The sequence below is a fragment of the Homo sapiens genome, chromosome 2 (genome assembly GCF_000001405.40).
Source record: "Homo sapiens chromosome 2, GRCh38.p14 Primary Assembly".
Lineage (NCBI taxonomy): Eukaryota > Metazoa > Chordata > Mammalia > Primates > Hominidae > Homo > Homo sapiens.
Window position 1 is genome coordinate 229,577,677 of NC_000002.12, and position 15,178 is coordinate 229,592,854.

Below are 15,178 nucleotides of genomic sequence, written 5' to 3' on the forward strand. Positions count from 1 at the left end.
CCTGAGTTTTCTGATCCAAAGGAGAATATTCCAGGAAGAATAACTTCTTTGAATATTCCAGGGTGCCAGTGTGCTAGTAAGAATTTACATTCAGTAAAGATGGATTACAAAAGATGAGTTAACACATTTTAAAGAATCAACCCAGCTTCACTGCATCAGAGCTGGGAAACAAAGATCCTTAAAAATATATAATCAATAAAGATATTACCAAGTTAAAGAATATTCCAAAAATTTAAGTGTCCTGCCAACTATCTTATTTCTTTATATCTTAACTTACTCTATAAGATCTGAGAGGCTCATAGAAATACATAAGATTAAAGAGTGAAATTCAACTTAAGTGAATATTAGAGGCAGGGAAAATATCACCTAAAGTCAGAGTGTACAGAAAAGAGACACGCAGACCCTCAGCTCTTCACAGTACCAAGAGGTGAATTTCCAGTTTGGTTCTGCATCTCCCCGTGGGCTTTTCTGACAAGAGAAAAACGTATGCTAAGCATCTTTCACTTCCTATGGGAGTCCTTTCTTCTGGCATGTCCTGGTCGGTCGCTCGCCCTGTCTCCTCCCATCTCGTCCCTATCACCCTGAGTCTTCCACAGGGAGCCAGGTCCCAGCTGCTCCACATGGCCAGGAAGCAGTCACAGGAGCTGGTAGTCAGACAGTAACAAAATGGAACAGGAGGGCAGCTAGGGAGTGGCAGGATCTGGCCTTTTTATCTCTGGATTCCTTTTAATTCCTGAGCAGGAAACAAAAGGATTCGTCAAGAAATGGCTGAGACAAAGGAATACACATCTAGAGACTTGATGCCTGAATAGCTAAAATAGACACACACAGAAAATTAACACTGGCCACTATGCCTGGCTTCAGGAAGCCCTCCAGCCAAGCTGAGATGTTAGCAACATCCCCCACCCCTACTTTTCTACTGGAACTTTTCCCCCTTTCAATACTGCCAGCAGCCCTCACCCCAGCTAATACAGCCCCAGTGGTGCCCCCTGCCTTCAGGAAGACTTTCTCCAAAATCACTCTCTCTGTCAAATTTACAGAATGAGGTACCCCAGCTCCAGTTGCTTTTGAAACTTTCATTTTAAAGGACAAGGCTTATAGGAATAGTTTACCCAGAAGGGAGGGAAGCAGAGTTCAAGAATAAGAAAATAGAGCTTTACTAAGGAATTCCAAAGGACTACCCAGAAATTCACATCGAAGACTAGAAGATCCCTCTTTTTCGTTTGAAAGATAAACAGAGAACTCAAGAAATATCATCCACATCTTGAGCACCTACCTTTATATAAATGTGTTCATATCCAAGATGAGAGGCAGCTGGGTGGAGGCAGGTGACATATTCAAAGGTTCTGTTACATGCTTGTTGAAATATCTCTATTTCCAGTTGTGATGGTCACTAGTCCATTTCTAGCACTATTATGAAATGATCTTAAATAGCACAGACTACTGTGCCATCAAAATGCCACACACACACTGCCCTTTGTATGTCCAAGGAGAATACTGGCCTGCCTTCCCTCCCTCTGGCAGAGTTAGCTGCTTCTTCATCTGAATCCCATGGCCACTTATATACAACCCTGTCTTGGGCACTTGTCTAAGCTTTTGTTGCCCCATTCACTCAGAGACCACACCTAAATCATCTTTGCACATCCAGACTACCACAGTGCTTGGAAAATGAGAGGCATGCAATGCATCTTTTCTAAACTAATACGGAACTGAGTATTTCCCACAGCCCTGCTACCTACAAATATAAATAAATAATTTAATTTCCTCAATATGGAGACTTAGGAAGCAGGTACATCTGTCAAAGGAAATATCACTGGGTGAGCGGAGAATGCTGAAAAACATACATCCTCCCACAGGTAGCTTTAAGCGGTGCTCTACAATTTTTAGGGACTCAGATATCTTTGAGAATCCAATGAGGTTTTGACTCTCTCCTGAGAAGGATGCATGGATACACAAAAGTGCATTTTCAGGAGATTCATGAGATCCATGAAGTGGATCTTTGACCCCTATGACTACCTCAAAACCAAGGGCCCACTGAGCCTAAATTAGGAACTTTTGCCTAAGAGTAATGGTATTAGTTGGCTGGGTATTGAGAATTCCTTTTTTTTTTTTTCTAAACATAGTATAAACTGTTAGGCTACAAAACACTGTTATCTCCAGGGAAGCATCACTATGCCAGTCAAGATAGAAGCTTGGTAAGAAGACTTTATGGTAAGTCCATAAAGAATAAAATCCTGGGGACTGTGAAGGGCCAGAGCACCAGGACAGTCTTACTACTTTAGTAAAAGAAAAGTCTTATTCCTCCTTGTACCTCCTAAAGTACCTAGTTATTCATGTCTTATTTCTCAAGAGAAAAAACAAACAAAGTGAATACACTACCGTAGGAACCATTTTCAAAACAAGAATCTTTTCAGGCTAGAAATGTAGAATCAAGGCAACTGAAAGCACTCTCTCTAGAGCTCCCAGGAGGCTCAGAGGAGTCATGGGCTGACTGGGAAACCTTCTAATCCAGTTAAGACGTCAATTAGAAAGACCTGCAAATTGTTGATTTCCAGGGTTCCATGGTTAATTTGATGGCTATAATCCTGAAGAAATGACCTCAGCTCCAACAAGGACATTCTTATCAGCCATGGGTTGTACCATTCACCCCTTTGAAGTTACAGTGGACCTAAAGTTATGAGAGAAGCATTTTAGGAGGTCATACATGAAATACCAATGGTCTGGATTAAACAGTAACATGCACTTATGTTATAAGTTAGACATTTTAATAAATGTACTGAAACTGTAAGAAAGGATGGTACAAATGTGTACCTAATAAAAGGGATTGAAAAAATAGTAGGCTATGGGCAGGAGAACAGAATGAAGGAAGAGAAAAAGGCAAGTATAAGAAGCTAGAAAGACCACTATAAAGGAACAAATGGAGAGAGGAATAGACTGGATCAAAATGAAAATAACTTCAAAGAAGAGAGAAGGGATAAAATTTCAGATGGAGGTAACAAAACGAACCATAAGAAAGAAAAGTGTGCAGGAAAAAATCGGGGTTTCTCTGAGGCAGGCAGGGAGTGTGGATAAAGCAGTCAGTCCCTGCCTGAGTTCTCTGATCCAAAGGAGAATATTCCAGGGAGAATAACTGTTAGAATATTCCAGGGTACCTGGAATTTAGCAGTTAAAGGAGATCTGAGAATGCATGCTGAATAGAATTTTAACTGGCCATTTTCTACATAAACCACTCCAGAAGAGGGGGATTTCAGTGAGGCCTTAGAAATGAGCTAAGTTTGGGGGTCTGAGGCTCAGACAGAATGGGGGTGGGAGAGGGTTGCACCCCCAGTGGGGATGGGGCCGGCAGTGAGCTGCAGGGTAGAAGTCCACTGTGCAGAACAGAGGAGAACTATGCCTGAGGACAGGAGGCAACATGGGGAAAATCCTTAAAAGCAGCACAAAGGGGCTTTCACCAAAGGAAATGGTGACCTTCAGCAGCTTCCTAACACAGAAGCCACACCCCAGAGATCTGGTTTGGCTCTCACCCTGAGATCGGCCATCACATCTAAGCAACAGCAAGTTTAAAGATACATATATATCCCATACTTAAGACAGGCAAGCCATAACTGTTTCATGGAAATGTGACTGGAGCAATGAATTTGACTCTTTGAAAATACGAAACATCCAGCAAATGAATCATTCAGGACACTAATGAGCACCTCCGATGCTCCCCGAGAAGCGGGCAATGTTAAACAAAAGGCTAATTTAGATATTTACCCCAATGCGTGGCATCAGGCAAATAACATATTTGGAAGTAACATATTTAGGGTAAACAGGACAGATAAGTAAAGAGAGGCCAGAAGAGTCGAAATTTGGTGGCAACACAGCAGGAAAGAAGTTGAGGCACAGAGGGAAGAACAACACACTTGGTAAAAAGTTCTATCAACTCTTTCTTTCTGCAAAATACTATAAATATTAACAAGGCAGTGGTCATGAAGGAAAACCATAAAGAAATGAACTGTAGTAACATGGAAATAAGCCAAATGTAAGTATATTCTCTTAATCCGGAATGTAGAACATTAGGCTCTCGGCAATAAACTTTTAAAGAGTATTTGTGTAAATCTGGTTACAGCAACCAAGTTTGTCTCCCAAAGACACAGAAGGAACTCCTCTGCTCTGTTGCATAGAAACAGGAAAATACCTTTGGTCATCAGTTATGTTTATTTTTATTTATTTATTTATTATCCAGCTGAATTTAAGATTTGTGGTCCTTAGTTATGTATGTGCAAACTATTGAGAGTGAATGGGAAGCAGGAGACAGTCAATTCCTGAAAGTGCCTCAGCTTCTCTCTAAAAAACAAGCAGGAGGGACAGAAACACAGCGACATAATTCTGAAACTTTACTCTTCCTTTACCGTGGAAGTTTTCTTCCGCCCACCCTAACATTGGTTTGTTTGTTAAATGAACGCCACTGTACTCTTAAAAATAGTCTGAGCTAAAACGTATTTGTGTCTGGAGAGTCCAGATTGTAAAAGTAAATTGCTTTAATAAGCTCCTTTTTAAAAACAAAACAAAAAGAGCGTTAAGCACATGTTAACGTAGTGAGCATCAGGCTTCCGCAAAGATTGCAAAAGGTACATCTTGTTTCTGAAGGATGAAAAGATTTTGTAAGAGAAGCAGCTGGCGGTGTGGAGGTGGAGTTGATTTATCATGGTTAGGAACCTGGCCATCCCTCCCCAGGAAGAGCTCGGGACAGGACTGCTGGCTACCTTTGAAGAGAATAACACCAAAAGATCGTGATCTCCTTACAAAGCCACATAAAAGACCCAGAAAGCCCTAACTAGAAAATTTAGAAAGATATCAAATTTTCAAAATGAAAAAAAAATGGTTTATCAAAATAAAGGATGTTACTCAAAATCATTGCTTTCTCCTCATAATCAAAAGTATAATTTGGGGAAAAGAATTCCTTAACATAGTTATTAATATATCAAAGTTCTTTTTTGAGTTGGAGTCTCACTCTGCTGCCCAGGCTAGAGTGCAGTGGCGTGATCTTGGCTCACTGCAAGCTCCGCCTCCCGGGTTCACACCATTCTCCTGCCTCAGCCTCCCTAGTAGCTGGGACTACAAGTGCCCATCACCACGCCCGGCTAATTTCTTGTATTTTTAGTAGAGACGGGGTTTCACCATGTTGGTCAGGCTGGTCTCAATCTCCTGACCGCGTGATCCACCCGCCTCAGCCTCCCAAAGTGCTCGGATTACGGGCACGAGCCACCGCGCCTGACCTAATATATCAAAGTTTTAAAGATTATTCCCATAAGGAATAATACGTTTCATCCAAAGATAATTTTTTCCACAAAATTTTTGATTAGCAAAATGAGCTCAAAATATGTACGAGTTCACAAGATTTCTTCTATCCCAAAAGAATAAATTTACATTAATACTGGAAAATCCATCTCAATTAATCCCCATCCTCAATCTCAATGTCAGTCTAAGGTCATAGTTATGTTACCATCAAAAGTAGTATAAAATATGAACTTATACAGATGCTCCTCAACTTGCAGTGAGGTCATATCCCAATAAACCTAGTGTAAACTGAAAATACTGTAAGTCAAAAATGCATGTAATGCACCTGACCTAGCAAACCTCATAGCTTAGCCTCGCCTAATTTAAACGTGCTCAAAACACTTACATTGACCAGCAGATGGGCAAAATTATCTAACACAAAGCCTGTTTTATAATAAAGTGTTGAATATCTTATACAACTTATTGAATACTGTATTGAAAGTAAAAAACAGAATAGCTGTACGGGTGCTTGAAATACAGCTTATACTGAATGTTAATAGCTTTCAAACTGTTGTAAAGTCAAAAGTCATTAAGTGGAACCAGCGTAGGTCAGAGACTGTCTGAATGCTAAATAAGTATCTTCTGGTAACGTTAAGGACATTTTAAAGAGTAGTGATACTTTATATGTTTTCTTGAAATATTAGCTCCATGTGATACCAAACAGAAAAACTTAAATTCAATATAAAATAAAACTATCAAAATACAGAAACTACATCCTTTTAGATAAATCTTTACAGCAGATATGGAAGTAAATAACAGTTACTTCAAATGTATTGGGGAGTGAAATTCAGATTTGATTCTTGACAAGTCTTTATCACACAATTTCTGATTATCTGTCATTCATCCTGATAGTCAAACACCAGTCTGAAGTGAAATGCACTCGTCTCTTTGTCAAGCTATGTTCATTCCCGAAATAAATTTCTCTTTACCTTCTTTTCACCCAGTAAAATTCCTGCTCCCCCAGCTGGACTTCCAAAGATTAAAAAAAGAACTTCTCATCAGAAGAGGGTCAGTCAAACATAAAGTGCAATATAAATTATAGAGACCTGAGCATTTTCTTACATCCCTTTATCTTCATTATGATATTTGCATCATATTTTGGAGGGTGAGTCTAAATGCATATTTTCCATTTAGCAAAATATTTAGTGTACACCAGAAAAAAATAGAGAAAATGCCCTAGGATAATCCTTAACATTTGTCAATTATCCTTGTACATTCGTTATCTAATTTAAGCTGACAAACAACCCTGAGAGACAGGTGCTGCTAGGAGGATGCCTACCCCATCCTCCAGGTGAGGATGGTTGCAATATATAGTCAGACAGGAGAAGGAATTAACAGCAGGATGCAAGAAGTTGCCTGGGTGCATTGGACTGGGATGGGTAGATTCTAAACTTGAGCTCAGGCCTTTGAATTGAGCTGCAAGGTGGAACATTATGTCAGCACACGAAGGCACCAGAGTTCCAAGTTCCAACCCCAAAGGTACTATATGCTGGATGAGAAACAAAGACAACTGAAAGGACACAGAATGCTAAACTAGGGGAAAGGTGATCCTCTGGGAACTGTCCAAGTGTCCAAGCAAGAGGCAGTGGGTCGGGGAGGGAATACTGAGGGTCTCTCTTTCTGGCGGCCATTTCTACGCCAAAGCGGAGGAATTAGAAAACAACTAATTAGCCTGTAATCCCAGCATTTTGGGAGGCCGAGGCGGGTGGATCACGAGGTCAGGAGATCAAGACCATCCTGGCCAACATGGTGAAACCCCGTCTCTACTAAAATACAAAACAAAAAATTAGCTGAGCGTGATGGCACATGCCTGTAGTCCCAGCTACTTGGGAGGCTGAGGCAGGGGAATTGCTTGAACCTGGGAGGCCAAGGTTGCAGTGAGCTGAGATCGTCCCAAAAAAAAAAAAAAAAAAGAAGAAGAAAAAGAAAAGAAAACAGTTAATTGGACACGTGGTAGTTTGAGAAGGTTAAACTACAGAAGCAAGTTCAAGAGAGAGTAAAAAGTTAGAAGTGACTGATGCAGGAGGGGTGGTTATGGAGGAGAGGGGCCCCAAAGAGAGCTATAATCCCACCAGTTACTTCTGAGTTGGGGACCCTGCAGTGGCAAATCACTGTGAGGTGCTGTGTTTGAACGCCCTAAGTCAGGCCAAAATCAACTGGGAACAAAGGTTATCCTGAGAGACCAACATCCAACACCTCAAGTTTTCCACAATTTCTGGAAAAAGAAGCAGATGAAAGATTCCAAAGGAAAACTGATGGCCAGAGCATTCAGTACCAAAGATCACACACCTGTGATGCCTTCGCCAGGGCTGGAACACAGTCGCTGGATTCCAGAGCCCATGCCTTTCCACTTTGAGCCACACTAGAAATATTATGTTAGGGCCAGGCTCAGTGGCTCATGCCTATAATCCCAACACTTCGGGAGGCTGAGGCAGGCAGATCACCTGAGGTCAGGATTTCAAGACCAACCTGGCCAGGGTGGTGAAACCCCATCTTTACTAAAAATGCAAAATGAGCCGAGCATGATGGTGGGTGCCTGTAGCCCCAGTTGCTCAGGAGGCTAAGGCAGGAGAATCGCTTGAACTCAGGAGGCAGAGGTTGCAGTGAGCCAAGATCGCGCCAGTGCACTCCAGCCTGGGTGACTGAGCGAGACTCCATCATCAAAAAAAAAAAAAAGAAAAAAAGAAATATTATGTTAGAATCCAGTTTTTATTCTAAAACCTTACCAAAGTGAAAGAAATAGCATTGATGGATAGAATTCAGATTATCTGAGCAAAATTCCCTACCTACTGTCTCAACACCAAACCAAAGTTGGGTTGAATCAGATGCAGTGTTGAGTAGAAGATTTTGGTAACTCACCAATAAAGTGATTATTCCCCAAGGCGAGCATCTCCTCCAGGAGGACCAGTCCCCCTGAAGCCTGAAGGGGGGTCACACTTCGTCCATCTATGAGGGAGCACTGTTGGAATCCTGTGGCCGTGACCTTCCAGAGCAAAATCAGTGAGGCAGTGGCATCTTGCCGAATCCTGGAAACAGGAATGATGTAAACAGAAAGCTCCTTTCAGAAAAATTCATCTTAGAACCAGTTCTTCAAATTAAAAATAAATACAAAGATGGTATGTGCATCTACCAAGGTACCAGGAGATCGATGGCATAAACAGATACGCGGGCGTCCACTGTAAAGGCGTACACTCCCACTTGTTCACAGTGTACCACAAAATGAGTCACTGGTAACTCACCTTTGAGTAACCACTTTGATGAACAGTAAAAGAGTACACTGAGTTCTCTTTCAGACAAATCCTTCCATAGCCACACAATATAAAAAGAGTTTTGCTTAAATTTGTCATAAACGTGGACTGCAACCCAACACAGCCACCTGAGTTATGCTGCCAAAATAAGCAAAAGTGTGTCACCTTTCCCCAACACCCCCCACCCACCCACCCACACACACACACAATCACATACAATCCACCTCCCAATGCTTCAGGCCTCCCCTGGCTCATTTTTGGTAAAAAAAAAAAAAAAAAAAAAAAAAAAAAAAAAAAAAAAAAACACACAAAACCACCCCACAGAGAATAGGATGTCACAGAAAGCCCATCAACCCCAACCCCAACCCCAGCTGCCCTCCTGCGCTTTTCTCCTCACAGCCCAATGCTTCAGCTACTACGAGCTACCCCAACCCAGTTCTTTCTCACCTCCCAAGCTTTGTCTCCTTCTCCACCTTGGAAATGTGTTCCTAGCCCACATATTACCTCTTCCCAGAGACTCCTGACCACTTCCCAACATCCCAACAGCTGCCCATTCTCCCCAGTGCTCCTGGAGAAGATCACAGTAGACTCCGCACAGATCCGCTCCCCCAGCACAGGGCTCCTGGCGTGCAGCAGGGGCTCAGTAAAGCTTTGATCAGTGACTAAATTCATGAGGAAATGAAAGCGTAAGGAGCTAGTAACCCCCACAAGTGAATTCAGTGCCCTCAGGTCATTCGGCACTCCCATCTCACTTCGTCTGAGTCAGACTCTGCTAATTCGGTCCCGTTCTGCAGCTTAAGGGAGTCTCAGAGAATGGCAGGTTTGTTGAGAGGAAAAAAACAAAAGCATTTAACGAGATAGAAGACCAGAAAATTTGGAAAGGTTTATCAAGGTAAGATAATATGATCTAGACAAGAAAGGGCCGAGAGATGTTTTAAGAGTAAAGGAAACTAGAGATCCTGCTCCTAAAACTAGCCCAGGACGGCAGGGGTTTCAGCTGTAGTCTGAGCAGTGAAAGAAACGCTTAGGACCGGGGTCCCCCTGCTGGTAGAGCTCGAAGCTGCCTCAGGCTTCACCTCTCCCGCCTCTCCGGATGGGAGCGTTCCTCCTGAGCCCAGGAATTCCCAAGCAGCCCTTCCAGGCTCTTCCCCTGCCAGAGTGAGTTCAAGGCTGTGGTGACCCAGGGTGCAAGAGCAATGTAACAAAGTCCCTCTTCCAAACATGTTCAGGGACTCCACTGTTTAGAAAGCCAGGTAGACAAAAATGGCGATGGATACATGGAAGAGACCTACAGTGCCCGCAGGCCCCTTAAAAGGGAGCCAGTGCAACAGATTGGTTAACCAGGCCACGTGTTCCCAGTCTTCTAAAAATCCCCAAAGACTGGACAGCAAATGCCCCTTAGGTTGCATGGAAAGTGTGGGGAGGGTGGTAGTCAATGGCAACTGAAAAGGATGGGCAGTGGGGGGTTGTCAGCCGGCCTGGGGCACCCTAATACTGGCCCATACCCCACCCCCAGCTTTGTGCTCCTGGGCACCTGCTGACTTGAGCCTCATATAAAGCACCACACATATCAGGTCTCAACCAGCACTGCTTCCCTATGCCTCTCCCTCTTCCCCACCGGTGACAATGGACCCTGTCATTTAAAATAGCTTGAATTTTAAACAAAACACTCTCTTTGTACGCTTGCTTTTAAAGAGAAAACTGTAAAAATAAATAAATAAATAAAAATTATAAAAAATAAAGAGAAAATTGTAATATGTAGAATTTAAATTTGGGGCAAAGTATGCATCTGAATGTAACTGATGGTCCAATAAAATCTTAAGAGGCCAATAATTTGGGAAGCAAAGCATTTGGGAGACAAGGAATCTGGCTGAGATCTTATCTAAGGCCTCACGGTTTGTCACCTCACACCAGACTCATCCAGTCCAATTTCTCAATTCCACTTGTCCAGCCTGAAAACCCTCACTGTAATTGCCTCTGAAATCGCTTCCTCTAGTTTTCAAATGGCAGGGGCCACATCTACCCGTGGAATCTGTTCACGATTCTCACTTGACAGGCCACTTACACACCAGGTCCGCGGATGGACACAACCCCACTTATAGGTCATAGCATCACTCTTAACAGTTTGTAACTCAGAATTTTCTTACTTGACTGAGGTGTTCTGTGGCACTTCAAAGGATACCAGGCGGCCACCCGCAGAGCTGTTAGAACTGGCATTCCCACAGGCAATATCTGGGATCACCTGGGAAGGGAAAAAAAAAACGACATATGATTGGGGTTGTTTATAGTATAACATAATGTGATAAAGCAAAATTCCATGCTGAATTTCCTTCATCCCTTTTGATGATGCGGGGGTAGGGCTAGAGAGGAGATGAAGAAGTGAAGCCTTACAAACTCAAAAGAAAATGAAATCTTTGTCATTTGATGTTCTGAAATGCAACAGCTTCCCTGAGAGCAATCTACAAATTCCTGGGATTGTTAAAACTGATCAATAGGATATTGCAGGACAGGAAGCAGATGTCACTCCCTGCTCATTTTCCATTCATTTAACAAGCAGTCATTGACCCCTGCACTATGCTTAACCTGATGCTAACCAGGAGGCCAACTTTAAGGACTAACTTACAAACAGCAGGTAAAAGCCTAATGACTAGGCAAGCCAGCCTTCGACTTGCAAAGTGCATGCAGTATCAGGTCTGATGACTCTTCTGTGTGCTGATGGGTCCAGGAGCACATGCTAAGGCTGGGGAGCTTGAACGCTGCCTTTCTTTTTCCTTGTAGGCTATACCTTCGCTTTTAAATTATTTCCCAAAAGTATTATATGGATGTATATTTTTTTAAAAAGGAGATCAATTGGTGGGGGGAGGACTGTGCTCATCAAAAAGCATACTGCAAAACCTTGAGCTATGTCCAGTGAGCATAAACCTGGCCAATTTATGCACTTAGTCCTCATGCCACAATTACTGTCCTCCCCCATGTCAATGAAAATGAAGCAGTATTAAAAGTATTCATCATCACAGAATTAATTGAGAACAATACAGAAACTCTCAGCAATTTCACTCCACAGCCCACACTTAGATCTTATTTTCCAGAATGCCCTACAATCAGATTCTATGGATTAAGCCCACCACTGATATTCAAAGATGTGAGTATAACTTGTTAAATTTGTATGACAGATGGCTGCTACCCAAGCCTCTAAGTCTCCAAATAACTTTATGTTTCCAAAGCATCATTACTTCACAGAAAGGGGATAATAATATGCCTCCTGGTTTCCATCAGGTTAGGCATACATATTAACATGTCTTCCTCTGGCACTTTAAATCTGCTTCATGAGCAGCCTAAGAAATAATCCATGATATAGGAAGATGAGGCATTTCCTTTTTTTCTTTTTTACACTTACCAACTGTAAAATAACATGACTTTAAATAAATAGATTGAAATGGCTGGTTAGGGAGAAATTTTCTTTTAAAGGACACTTCTTTGATAAACTTGAATCAAATCTAGTTCACATTCAAGAACTGAGTCATCCAGCAAAGAAGCATTAACATCATAACTTCAAAGCATTTATTAAAAGCCTGAAATCAGAGCAAGTTCACAGTTTTTTAGGTAAGCTAAAAACATTGCCCTGCAGTCTGAATGTGGCCTTCATAAGCTGTGTGGTAATACAAAAAAAAAAAAAAAGTGGGTCAACTGGTGAGAATTACTCAAGAAAATAAAAGGAGAAATGCTACTATCTCTTTTATAATAAAGGAAATTTCTAGATGCAGTCCTTGACTCTAATACATGCTATGCAAAAATCTATTTTTTTTTTTTTCATTTAAACGATGAAACCCGTAATAATAACATACCGACACAGGTTTATATGGATGTCATACATATAAAGTATAAGATATAGAATGGAATTACACTCCCCAGTGTCACTTCAAACTCATGATTTGGATTTGTTCCCCAACTCTTCTACCCAGCAAATTTATTTTATGTCAACTTCTAGGAGTCTACTGAAAAGACTTTTGAAGAGCTTGAAGATAAAACAGCCAAACTCAAACTTGATAGGAGAAGTTCCAACAAATAGAATTTGCTGCTGCCAAAATAAATAAAACTTGGAAGTTTCTTTGTCAAATGCATTCTAAAAATATGTCAAAATCATTGATAGCTTCTTCTTTCTAAACCCCATTGAAATACTTCAAGGTACCAAAAATAGAACCTAAATGACAACAGTAAAAAAATAGTTGAGTGTTGCGGTCTGCTGTGGTCTGAATGTCTGCGCCCCTCTAAATTCATGGGTGAAATCCTAACCACCATGATGATGGTATTAAGAGGTGGGGCCTTTGAGAGGTGGTTAGATCAGCAGGGCACAGGGCTGGTGAATGAGATTAGTGCCCTTGTAAAAGACCTGAAAGAGCTCCATAGCGCCTTCTACCATGTGAGGTTACAGTGAGAAGACGCGGGCTGTGAAGAAACAGGCCCTCACCAGACTCTGAATCTGCCTTGATCGTGGACTTCCTTGTCTCCAAGGCTGTGAGAAATAAATGTCTGTGATATGATTTGGATCTGTGTCTTCAAATCTCATGTTGAAATGTGATCTCCAATGTGGGATGTGAGGTCTGGTAGGAGATGTTTGGGCCATGGGGGCAGATCTCTCATGAAAGACTTAGCACCGTCCCCTTGGTGATAAGTGAGTTCAGGTGAGATTGGATTGTTTTCTGGGACCTCTCCCTTCCCTCTCTTGCCCTCACTCTTGCCATGTGACACACTGGCTCCCCTTTGCCTTCCGCCATGATTGTAAGCTTCCAGAGGCTCAGCAGAAGCAGATGCTGGTGCCATGCTTTATGTACAGCCTGAAGAACAATGAGCCAATAAACTTCTTTTCTCTATAAATTGCCCAGCCTCATGTATTTCTTCATAACCACTCAAGAATGGACCAATACTGTGTGTTGGTTATAAGCAACCCAGTTTGTGGCATTTTTGTTATAGCAGCCTTAACAGACTAAGACACACTCCCAGAAAGGAAAATAAGGTCAATGATGGAGGGTCCTATGACATGTTCCTTTACATGACTACACTGAGCTGTCTTCCCCAAAATCTAAGATTATCTCACAGAAATACATGTGGATACCATTCCAAAAAATAATTTGATTCATTTTTTTGTTTACTCTTTTTATACTTATAAAACCATCGTACACACAAATGCAGACAGGAATAAGTTTAGGGAGATATTTTGCTTCGTGATTTAACTTAAAATGCTTTCATTTTTAATTGCTGATACTAGAACCGCTGGAGTCACTTTAAGATTTCTGGTTTCTAATGTAAAAATGCACATGATATAACGTTCTCACCTCCACTTGATCCCATTTCATTTCTACAACTTTCTGCCCTGTTTTCGGCTGCCAGGTAGGCAGTGTCACCGTTGCCTGAGAGCGAGGCAGGATTTTGTCAGGCTCCTGAGTAGCAGGAACAGGCTGAAGCTGTCGGGGTGCCATGGATTCGGTCCAGCCAGTGGCTGGGAGACTGGGAAGTGCCTGTTCACAGTTGGGACCTTCATAGCCTTCATTGCAAATGCAGAGGTAGCCATCGCTGCTGCTGCTGCTGCTGCTGCTGCAGTTGCCATGGTGACAAGGGTTGCTGGCACAAGGATCTGCAACAAGCTGAAACGAGACCATAAATGGGTCAATTATTCCCTCATAAGAAAAGTGGTGCCATCGCTGGGAAATTAGCTCTGTGTCTCAGAGCGACTGCTGTAATGGAAATGCTGTTCCTGTGGAATACACTCCTTAACTACTTGTGCTGTTGTGGGGTGGGGTGTACACCAAGGTCATCCGAACATTAACCTTACCACAGATAAGAGGCACCCAGCAAGAAAATACAAAGTGGAGAGCAGCCTCCTCAAAACCCAAAACACCCAATAATGTCGATTTCAGTAACCAGTTATTTAGAGTAATTTTCTAGGGCAAAAATAGTTAAAACTCATTAGGAAGATGCCAACTTTGACATTTTTAGCTGTCAAATGATATTAGGAATCTAAATTGGAATCTCCTTTTCCACATTCTGGACCTGTGCAAGGTCTCCTCATGAGAAAAGACTGCCCCATTTATCTGCCCTGCAGATGTGCTTACCTGTATCTCTCAATTTCCTAACCGGTCAACAATACTTTTTAAGGTGATACTGTACTATTTAATTAAAGACTTCCAAAATGATCAGTTTGCATGGCAGTTGCTAGCTAGAAGAGACTGTGGTGGGGACTTAAGCAGAATTTTATGAAATTTTTTATTTCTTTATTTTGGAGGGTGATTAGAGAGAAATGTGACCCCTTCCCTCGCCAGATATGGAAGATGAGAACTCAGTCATATGTGTTTCAATTATGCTCATGGTCTGGGGAAAGTGTTTATCTCAGAGTCCTTCTCTGTTGACCTCTGAATGGCCATGTGTTGGTAGTTGCAGACACGCTACAAAACAATGTGAAAAAATCACCTGCTCCTCTTCAGATAGCGCAAGGGTTCAGTCATGTTCTCAGCACCTGTTCAATTAGGATTTGTTTCTGTGATAAGGAGAAAATTAGATCTCTAGCTGATATACCCCTGGCTTCTCAGGGCTGACTACAAAACAGAATTCAG

General features: G+C 41.9%; 1 protein-coding gene across 1 annotated transcript in view; it reads right to left on the reverse strand.

Moving 5' to 3' along the window:
* Positions 1-15,178, reverse strand: part of DNER (delta/notch like EGF repeat containing) — a 356,927-nt gene that overhangs the window by 220,048 nt on the left and 121,701 nt on the right. Inside the window, exons 2-4 of the mRNA NM_139072.4 lie at positions 13,904-14,212; positions 10,718-10,812; positions 8,182-8,348 (exon numbers count right to left, since the gene is read on the reverse strand). Of these exons, the coding sequence (NP_620711.3) occupies positions 8,182-8,348; positions 10,718-10,812; positions 13,904-14,212 (571 nt within the window). The remainder of the gene's footprint in view (positions 1-8,181; positions 8,349-10,717; positions 10,813-13,903; positions 14,213-15,178) is intronic.